The sequence below is a fragment of the Homo sapiens genome, chromosome 12 (genome assembly GCF_000001405.40).
Source record: "Homo sapiens chromosome 12, GRCh38.p14 Primary Assembly".
In the NCBI taxonomy this organism is placed as follows: domain Eukaryota; kingdom Metazoa; phylum Chordata; class Mammalia; order Primates; family Hominidae; genus Homo; species Homo sapiens.
This window is the reverse complement of record NC_000012.12, coordinates 126,002,412-126,013,518: the sequence shown is the minus strand read 5'-3', so window position 1 is coordinate 126,013,518 and position 11,107 is coordinate 126,002,412. Positions and strand designations below refer to the sequence as shown.

The following is an 11,107-nucleotide window of genomic DNA, read 5'->3' as shown; positions in this document are numbered from 1 at the left end:
TAATGCAAATGTCCATCTCTTCTAAGTTCTTGGGGGGCATTCTCCATTCCTCTGCATTGCTCAAAGTCCCCAGCACAGTGTCTGCTCTGCTTTCTTAAGTCAATGGTGAGAAATATCCAAGTTGATTGAGTTATCTACAAGAATACTGAAAATTATCCAAGGAATCTAATTCAACAAGAATTTATAAACTCTTGCTGTGTGCCAATCATTGTTCCTGATTCTGGACTTAACAGGAGAATAAAGTACTACTCCTACCCTAAAAAAATTCACAGTGTCCTGGAGAGAAAAAACAATTTCTCAAATACAAGGTGATAAGTGTTGCAATAAGGATATGTAAAATATAGCAGCAACACACCATTGACAAAGGTGTTTGTCATTAACTGCTTTCAGCTACAGCAAATGCAGTCTCAACATGCTTATTCAAAAGAGGTTCATTATGTCCATTAGGAAGACTACACACCAAGTGGGTCCCCGAGTGTGTTGACTCAGTGGCTGAACCACGACAACAGGGGCTGAGGTTCTCAGTTTCTCTGTTGAAGTTCGTGATGGTTTCCTCTACAGGTTGGTAGCAAGAGGGTGGCAGAAGTTCCAGGAGCTCCATAGAGTTACGGAAATATTCACAGAACTGTTTCCTTCTTTCTCGGCTGTCCCTCGGGAGAAAGGAACATTTTCCTGGAATTCCATAGCAGAATTCCCCTCCCACCTTATTAATCAGAGTTGGGAGCTGGATGAGGAAATGGGATTACCTTGGTACAAATCAAACTCATGCTGGTGCCAGATTGAGGGGTCAGGTCCCCAGAGGCACGTGGATGGGGTCAGAAAGAGGGGTTACCTTCAGTTAGGAAGAAAGACAAGAGTGATAGGTTGCGGGAAGGCAACTCACACTTTCCACTATGGACATGCAGTTCTATAGAGATTCAGCATTTGATAGTTGGGTAGTTTGTTTAAATTACAAACATTTAATAGTATACTTACAGACCGGGCATGTTGGCTCACACCTGTAATCCCAGCACTTTGTGAGGCTGAGGTGGGTGGATGACTTGAGGCCAGGAGTTCTAGACCAGCTTGGCCAACATGGTAAAACCCTATCTCTACTAAAAATACAAAAATTAGCTGGGAGTGGTGGTGGTCGCCTGTAATCCCAGCTACTCGGAAGGCTGAGGCAGGAGAATTGCTTGAATCCAGGAGGCCGAGTTTGCAGTGAGCTGAGATCATGCTACTGCATTCCAGCCTGGGCAACAGAGCAAGATTCTGTCTCAAAACAAACAAACAAATATAGTACATTTACATTTAATAGTTAGATAGTTTGTTTAAACTACAAAACATTAGGGAATGAGTTATAGTGAGTCACCCAAAAGTTACAAAGCTGTCTTTTGCTTGTACCTATTTTTTAGTATTTTGGAAATTTTTATGCTAACTCCTCATTTTTCAGTGTTTCTTCTTCTTCTTCTTCTTCTTCTTCTTCTTCTTCTTCTTCTTCTTCTTCTTCTTCTTCTTCTTCTTCTTCTGCTTCTTCTTCTTCTTCTTCTTCTCCTCCTTGTCCTCCTCTTCCTCCTCCTCCTCCTCGTCCTCTTCCTCCTCCTCCTCCTCCTCCTTCTCCTTCTCCTTCTCCTTCTTCTTCTTCTCCTTCTTCTTCTTCTTTTGTTCTTTTTTTGAGATGGAGTATTGCTCTGTTACCCAGGCTGGAGTGCAGTGGTGCGATCTCAGCTCACTGCAACCTCTGCCTTCCAGGTTCAAGTGATTCTCCTGCCTCAGCCTCCCAAGTAGCTAGGATTACAGGTGCGTGCCACCACACACAACTAATTTTTGTATTTTTAGTAGAGACTAGGTTTCACCATGGTGGCAAGGCTGGTCTCGAACTCTTGACCTCAAGTGATCTGCCCACCTCGGCCTCCCAAAGTGGTGGGATTACAGGCATGAGCCACTGCACCCAGCCCTCAGTGTGTTTTTTAATATAATAAAGGACTGAAGATGTACCACAGCTTTTAAGAAGAAAAAGCATTTTCAAATGGAAACTAAAGATTATTTCAACATAATCCTGTCTGCTTCTGGAAGAGTGTGAAGATTATTCTAAAAAATTCAATTAAGCAATTCAATTAACCAGTGTGTATTGAGTATTCACTACGTACCAGACAAGTTGGCATTTGAAAATTTAAACATAAGGAAAAGAGTCATGCTGATTGTCATTTCTTCCACATGCACAATTTAGAAAATTGATGCCACTTTATCAAACCACAGCTATTTACTGCATCCCTACTATGTGCAAGGCATGTTCCTAGAAGCACTGACAATTTGAGAAATCATTTCAATAGGGATAAATAAAAATGATTTTTAAAATGTATTTGCTTTGATGGATGAGTTGATTATCGATTGAGATCAAGTTATTTAAGATTCAGTTTAAGGAGGAAGCTATAAATATTTAGGATTCTTGAAGTTGAAAGTGCTTGAGCACATGGAACTGAAAGGAAGGATGAGGAGTCATTTAGCTCTTACATAGGAGAAAATAGGAATTAGACGCTATCCCCGCAGTATCAGTTCTCCCAGGAAAAACTACCAGGCTTGCTCCTTGCCCCTGAGGTTTGCGGTCTCCAAAGTGTTTCTTCATCCCTAATAATTCAATTTCTAAGGGGCTCCCTTTACATAAAACATAATGTGACGATGCCCCTAGAGTCACATAACCAAGTGACCTGCCTCTACCACACACACCAAAATGCTCTAAATTCACCTCCCTGGTACAGAGGTATTACAGGAACCTGCAATTTGCCACCTGGAATCCCCACAACACCAGACGCGCAGCTGGCCCTGACCTGACCTCATTAAAAACACTCCAGTAAATGGATTCCTCCATCAGCCATCTCACCTAGACCTCAGCGTGCTGCCCTGTCCCCTGTGCTTGCCTCTCCATCCTAAAACCCTGCAAGGACTGCACCTTGAAGCCAGCAGCTTAAATGCTTCCACAGCTTCTCCATTCTGAACCCAATACCAGACACCTCTTTTGCACTTAGCAGCTGTGAGGTCCTCAGACAGGTGGGTGGAACCCAGAGGGTGCAAGTAGAAACCGAGACTTGTTAGTGTCTGGTTTTAATATATTGGGAAGGACCCCAGATGTCATGCAATAGCCTCTCATTCAGATTCAGAGAGGAGACATGGGGAGCCCAACCTCACAGCCTCTGCCTCTGAATTACAATACGGAATTCTTTCTACTACCGCTGAATTTCCCTGTGCAGGTAGGGGGTGGGGGAAGTTCAGGTGTCCTGGGTAAGGGGACATGATATCTTCATTTCAGCCATTGGACAGTTTGTTTTTCAGCAAACATCCTGTGTCTCTGGGACAGAGCACTTGGGCTGTGCTCAGAAGAAGGGCCCAGACCTTCTACACATGGCTTCAGGGAGAGATGACACTACTGATCCGGTCACATTCTGCCTTCTCCTTCCTTTTTCTTTCTTTCTTTCTTTTTTTTTTTTTTTTTGAGATGGAATCTTGCTCTGTTTCACCCAGGCTAGAGTGCAGTGGTGCAATCTTGGCTCACTGCAGCCTCCACCTCTGGGTTCAAGCAATTCTCCAGCCTCAGCCTCTCGAGTAGCTGGGATTACAGGCACGCACCACCACACCCAGCTAATTTTGTATTTTTAGTAAGGACAGGGTTTCACCATGTTGGCCAGGCTGGTCTTGAACTCCTGACCTAAGGTGATCCACCCACCTCGGCCTCCCAAAATGTTGAGATTACAGGTATGAGCCACCACACCTGGCCATCCTTCCTGTTTCTTGAATTTCCACAGAAACAGATTTTATTCAGGTCTTATCTAGGGACTTTTTGAGATATAGAAGATAGGTAATGCCAACAATTAGTTGTGATTTGGATCAGGGACTAATAAGGTAAAGTGACATTCTCTCAGATTCAAAAAGTGATTCAGAAAAATACACAATTGCAGGTGCTGGGTCTCTAGGCTCTTCCCCAGGTGCCTGGATTCCAACTTTTGTAGCCTAAATGTTCAACTGACAGAACAGGCCATCTCTGTGAAGGTTTGCCAGGGAAGAAAGTACAAAGCCAGGCAAACATCGTGGTTGCTCCCACTTATGTTTTTCCTAAAATAGTATTGCAAACTTAATGTGTATGTGAACCAGGCCCTCCTGCTTCAGCTCCTGGTTCCATTGCTATTGGGGTCTGGGGTTTCTGGCTTGAAAATGAAGTATCTTAGAATTAAACAGGGGCAGTCCAAAAGTTTTTCTTATTAGCAGCCTAAATTAACACCCTGGCCAAAATCATTCTGCTATTTTTCTAATATATGCTTAAATGCCATATTCCAATGTACTCCAATCTCTAGAACCAGATAGTACTAGTCAGATCCCTAACACCAAGGTTTCTTTACTCCTGTAAAAGGCATGGTCAGCATGAGGTTCGCTTTTGAACACCGGGGCTGGTGGGGGCAGGGCAGGGGCTTGTGTGACTATTTTCCCTAACTGTCCATTTCAACTAGGTCTTTCTGGATCCTTTAGAGAAATCAACAATTGTTACAGTAGGTGTAGATTGAGAGACACAGGGCACAGAAAGGTCTGGAGAATGTGTAAGTGGAGCCTAGTCATAGACTCTTTAGGAACTAATAACATCAGCCACATGGTGATTAGAAGGCCTTTCCCCTGACCCCTCCTCAATCAAGTAATTCATAACCAACAAACCTCCAAGCTCACTGCAAACACTACTTACTGCTTAATTTTTTTTAAAAAAGAAATACTGTGATGGTAGGGAAGATGGAAAATGCAGTCTTATAATAAATATATTCCTGTAAACACAGGTTTGTAGCTTTAAAGACTTTTGTAAAAGATCTCACCAGGTGTGGTAGTGGCTCACTCCTGTAATCCCAGCACTTTCGGAGGCCAAGATGGGGGGATTGCTTGAGCCCAGGAGTTCAAGACCAGCCTGAGAAACATAGTGAGACCCTGTCTCTTCTAAAAATTAAAATTAAAAAAAAAAAATAGCCAGGCATAATCACACATATATGTGGTCCCAGCTACTTGGCAAACTGAGGTGAGAGGATGGCTTGAGCCCAGGAGGTCAAGGCTGCAGTGAGTTATGATGGTGCCACTGCACTCCAGCCTGGGCAACAGAGCAAGACCCTGTCTCAAAAAAATGTGTATATATATTTATATATAAAATGTGTGTTTATATATATATATATATATATATATATATATGTAAACATTGTGTAAGTATGTAAGTATGTATCTAATATGTGTATATATGTGTGTGTGTATATATACACACACATATACATATATATGTATATGGCCAGGAGCTGTGACTCACACTTTGGGATCCCAACCTTTTGGGAGGCCGAGGCAAGTGGATCCCTTGGGCCCAAGAGTTCAAAGCCAGCTGGGGCAACATAGCAAAACCCTACCTGTACAAAAAAAAATACAAAAATTAGCCAAGTATGGTGGCACGTACCTCTAGTCCCAGTTACTCTGGGGGCTGAGGTGGGAAGATTGTTTAAGCCTGGGAGGCAGAGGTTGCAGTGAGCTATGATCATGCCACTGCACTCCAGCCTGGGCCATAGAGTGAGACAATGTCTAAAGAAAAAAAAATCTCACAGTGAAACATAGCAGATGATTACTCTGTTTCCTAAATTTAAAATGAAGTATTTAAAAAGTAATTTCACGTGACTCCAAAGTCAGATCATTACTAGCCACAGAGCAGTTAAAACTTCTGTGTCCTCATTCTGAGAATAAGAGAGATCAGTGAGAAGATTTTAGCATTCACTGAGTGCTTTATTTGTACCATGCCAGCTACATGTACCATTTCTATAAATTATCACAACAACCCCGTGAATTAAAAACTATTCACCCATTTTACTGATAGAGGAATTGAAGCACAATTAGAGCACCAAACCAGGCCAATCTGACTCCTTAGCCTGCAATGTTGAGATCTGTACCTCCTGTATTTCTAAATATAGGACTGATACAGAAGGGCTCCTGACTGAACCCCACCGTTAAGCCTGGAACCGCAGCCCTAAGTGAAAACGGCTGACCCTGTTTTTCCACCCAAATTTTGCCTTTTTGATCTACCATGCCCCTATCCTGTGCCCATAAAAAGACTTCAGCTGACACAGCAACACAAGTGGCTGAGTGTCAGGGATACAAGTGGCTGAGCACTGGGGATACCAGTGGCTCAGCAGCAAGGATACAGGTGGCTGAGTACTGAGGATACAAGTGGCTAAGCAGGAAGCAGAGAAGCAACTGAGTGTCAGAGACTGGATAGACACAGCTAACCTCAGATGGTGCAGCTTTGGAGAGGGCCCCAGCGAGAGATGGCCAGACTTCAGGGAAAGATCACCTTCTTCCCGCACCATCCCCTTTCCAACTCCCCATCCTGCTGAGAGCCACTTCCATCGTCCAGTAAAATCCTCCTTATATGCTACCCATCAATCCACTCATGTGACCTGATTCTTCCTGGATGCTGGACAAGAACCCAGGTGCCAACAGGGCAGGGGCTGTCACCCTGACCCTCCACTGAGCTGGTTGGCACTTGGCCAACCCTGGGTGACAGAGCTGAAAGGGCATTGGTTGTAATACAGTTGGACACTGCTGTGGGGCTGCACAGAGCCTGCTCCCACCAGAGAGGAGTGACTGGCTGGTTCCAGTATTCATTCGCTCCAGTTCCCACACTTGCTCCCTCACACACTCCCTCTCACAAGGGGTTTGAGCCTGTGGCAACCGAGTAAACGAGCCACACCCCTGTCGCAAGTTCCACAAAGGGATCAAGGGAATTATCCCATCTCGGAACCAGCCCTTTAAGTTTGCTGATGAGCTTTTCTTTTGGTTTGAGTTCTTCAGGAAGCAGGCCCTATGTGAAGGATTGCAGTGCCTGTGATTTATGAAAGAGTTAATCTCAGGACAACAAGAAGTAAGAGGGAGAAGAAAAGCAAGGATGTGATTCAAGGTAAAGTCTCAACCCTGTCTGATCCTACAGGATGTGTGAAACCACACCTCAGTCTATACTGCCTAGAAACAAAGGGCCAGGGCTTCTGTGTCCCCACACAATTCAGCCACTGGCTATGGGTTGCTCCAGGGGTGTGTAAATGCCCAGGTGCTTGTCCTGTCCCAAGGTGAGGCTGCCCTAGTAGCTCAAGGCTCTCCTTGGAGTGCCACTACTCTGAGGCGTTCAAAGAGCACAGAATACTGGCAAAGGGGACTCGAGAGGACCTGGGAAGGACACCTGTTCTGAGCACTTTCTACTCATCCTGTTGGTGAGGGAGGGACTCCTCACCCTAAATAGAAGACAGGTGAACACATAGCACCTGAAACTGCACAGGTGAGGTAGACTGTAGCTTGTGAGCCACATATACTCACAGAATGGGAGAGGTCAGTGAACACCAGACACCCCTCAGGGGAACACAGAGACTGCAATCAAGAACCCTGCAGCACCACTCACAATAGCAACACATGGACTCAACCTAGATGCCCATCAATGAAGGACTGAATAAAGAAAATGTGGTACAGATACACCATGGAATACTATGCACCAGGAAATACTGTGTATCTATGTAGCTATGAGATCATGGCCTTTGCAGCAACATGGATACATCTGGAGGCCGTTATCCTAAGTGAACTAAGGCAGGAACAGAAAACAAAATACCACATGTTATCACTCAAAGTGGAAGCTAAACATTGCATACACATGGACTCAAATAAGGAAGCAGTACTTACTGGGACCTTTTAAGGGTGCAGGATGGGGAAAGGGTGAAGAATGAAAAACTACCTATCAGGTATAATGCTGATTACCTAGGTGACAAAATTATCTGTACGCCAAATCCCTGAGACATGCAATTTATCCATGTAACAAACCTCCACAGGTACCCTTCGAAACTAAAATAAACGTTGGAAAGCAAAAAAAAAAAAAAAAAAAAAAAAAAGGAACAAAGTGAACCATCAGGAGCTGTAGGAAGCAGGCTTTGTAGTAACAAAAGAATGTGAGAATGTGGTGCCCCTGGTTCTGACAGGAGGATGTGATTGACTTGATTCAATGATTCTGTGGAATACCAGGGAAGTAAAATTGGTTAGGTTGAGGACATGGTGGAGTGCAAGCAGTCCAGCCCATAGATGAACTAGCTGGGTAGGGGGCATATCTTTTCAGCTACGGAGGAGGCATATCTGATGAGAGTAGAGAACACCCAGTTAGTCTTGGAGGCCCTCCAAGGCCCAAAGATGTCAAGACAACCCGTGAAATAATAGGCCCTACACTACAGCATTCCTAATATAAATATAGTCAATTACACAAGAAGTGAGTGGAGGAGAGGAGACTGATGCAGGGGGCATTAGGCTGTTCTTGCATTGCTATAAATAAATACCTCAGACTGAGTGATTTATAAAGAAAATAGATTAAATTGACTCATCGTTCTGCAGGCTATACAGGAAACAGTGCCAACATATGTTTCTGGGGAGGCCTCAGGAAGCTTTAGTCATGGCAGAAGGTGAAGAGGGAGTAAGCACTTTACAAGGCAAAAGCAGGAGCCAGAGAGAGAAGATTGGAAAAGGGAGTTGCCACACACTTTCAAATAACCAGATCTCATGAGCACTCACTCACTATGTGAAGACAGCACCAAGCCATGAAGGATCCAGTCCTGTGATCCAGACGTTTCCCATCAGAACCCACCTCCAGTATTGGGGATTAAAATTCAACATATTTGGGTAGGGACAAATATATAAACTATATCAACCCCAGCCCCTCCCAAATCTCATGTTCTTCTCGCATTGCAAAATACAATTATGCCTTACCAACAGTCCCCCAAAGTCTTAACACATTCCAGCATTAACTTAAAAGTCCAAAGTCTCATCTGAGACATGGCAAATTCCTTTCACCTATGAGCCTGTAAAATAAAAAAGTAGTTAGTTATTTCCAAGATACCCTGAGGTTATAGGCATTGGGTAAACGTTTCCATTCCAAAAGGGAGAAATTGGCCAAAAGAAAGGGCCACAGGCCCCATGCACATTTGAAACCCAGTAGGGCAGTGATTAAACCTTAAATCTCTGAAATAATCTCCTTTGACTCCATGTCCCACATCTAGGGCACATCGATGCAAGAACTGGTGTTCCAGGGCCTTGGGAACCTCCACCCCTGTGGAGTTTTTCCCTGTGAAAAAGCCATGAAAACCCTGTGCCTTTTTCATACTGAGGCTACAAGTTGCCAGTGGATCTACATTTCAGGGTATAGAGGATGGTGGCCCCCTTCTCACAGCTCCTCTAGGCAGTGGTTCCATTAGGGACTCCATGTGGAGGCTCCAACCCCACATTTCCCCACCTCACTGCTTTAGTAGAAGTCCTCTGTGAGGGCTCTTCTCCTACAGCAGACTTTGGTCTGGCCATCCAGGCTTTTCCATACATCCTGTGAAATCTAGGTGGAGGCTGCCAATCCTCAACTTCGGCACTCTGTATGCCCACAGGAATAACACCATGTGGAAGCTGCCAAAGCTTATGGCTCGCACCCTCTGGAGCTGCAGCCCCAGCTGTAGCTGAGCCCCATTGACCTGAGGCTGAAGCTAGAGTGGCAGGGATGTTGGGGAGAAGTGTCTTGAGATTACACAGGGTAGCAGGGCCCTGGGCCTGACCCATAAAACCATTCTTCCTTCCTAAGATTTTGGACCTGGGATGGGAGAGGCTGCCACAAAGTTCTCTGAAATGCCTTGGAGTCCTTTTCCCGATAGTCTTGACTATTAGCACTTGGGTCTCCTTTAGTTATACAAATTTCTCTAGTAAGTGGCTGCTCCAAAACCTGCTTGAATTCCTTTCCTGAAAAAGCTTTTTCTTTCTCTGCCATATGGCTGCGCTGCACATTTCCCAAACTCTTACACTCTGCTTCTTGTGTAAATATATGTTCCAACTTTAAGTCATTTATTTGCTCTTGCATCTGAGCGTAGGTTGTTAGAAGCAGCCAAGCCACAGCTTGAATGCTTTGTGGCTTAAAAATTCATTCCACCAGATACCCTAAATCTTTAGTCCAAACTTCTACAGATCCCTAAGGCATGGACATAATACAGCCATGTTCTTTGCTAAGGCATAACATGTGTGACCTCTGCTCCAGTTCCCAATAGGTTCTTCATTTCCATCTGCGACCTGTTCAGCCTGAACTTCATGGCCTACATCACTATCAGCATTTTGTCACAACAATTTAAGCAGTCTTTAAGAAATTCCAAACTTTCCCCCATCTTCCTGTCTTCTGAGACCTCCAAAATCTTCCAACCTCTGCCTATTACCCAGTTCCAAAGTCACTTCCACATTTTTAGGTATCTTTATAGCAATGCCCCACTTTTCAGTACCAATTTTCTGTATTAGGCTGTTCTTGCATTGTTATAAATAAATACCTGAGACTGGGTAATTTATCAAGAAAAGAGGTTTAATTGGCTCATGGTTCTACAGACTGTACAGGAAGCGTAGTGCCAGCATCTGCTTCTGGGGAGGCCTCAGCAAGCTTTTACTAGTGGCAGAAGGCAAAGTGGGAGCAGGCCCTAAACCTGGTGAAAGCAGGAACGAGAGAAGGGGTTGGGGGGTGCGACACATTTTTAAATGACCAGATCTCATGTGAACTCGGAGTGAGAGTTCACTTATCACCAAGGAGATGGTCCAAGCCATTCATGAGGGGATTCGCCCTCCAGAAGGAAACACCTCCCACAAGACCCCACCTCCAACACTGAAGATTACATCTCACCATGAGATTTGGAGGGTAAATCCAAACTGCATCACAGGGTCTCTCATCCTCCTAATGAGAGAGCATCACAGCGGATGGTTTCACCCACCCCTGCCATGATTGCCTAATCATAATATTAATGCACAAGTCACTGCACTCTCCATACCTAAGTCTCTGGCAGAAAAGCAATATTCAATTAGAGTACTTAATAAAATATAGACACTATTTGTAAGATTCCCTTCGAATAGACCTCAGTGATTTTTCTCCCTCAGTTATAACGACTGACTGAGTTCAGGATTCCCCCAGATCATGAGAGTTTAGAAACTACCATCAACACTCCACACTGTTCCCAGATATTAATGAGGGGCTCCTTGTATTGAGCAATTTGTTGTAAATCTGGTATGAATCTTGGAGTAGAGCCAAACAATA

At 44.3% G+C, this 11,107-nt stretch overlaps 1 long non-coding RNA gene across 1 annotated transcript in view; it reads right to left on the bottom strand.

The window, feature by feature from the left end:
* Window positions 1-11,107, bottom strand: part of LINC02826 (long intergenic non-protein coding RNA 2826) — a 59,958-nt gene that overhangs the window by 29,962 nt on the left and 18,889 nt on the right. The gene's annotated exons all lie outside the window — the stretch shown is intronic.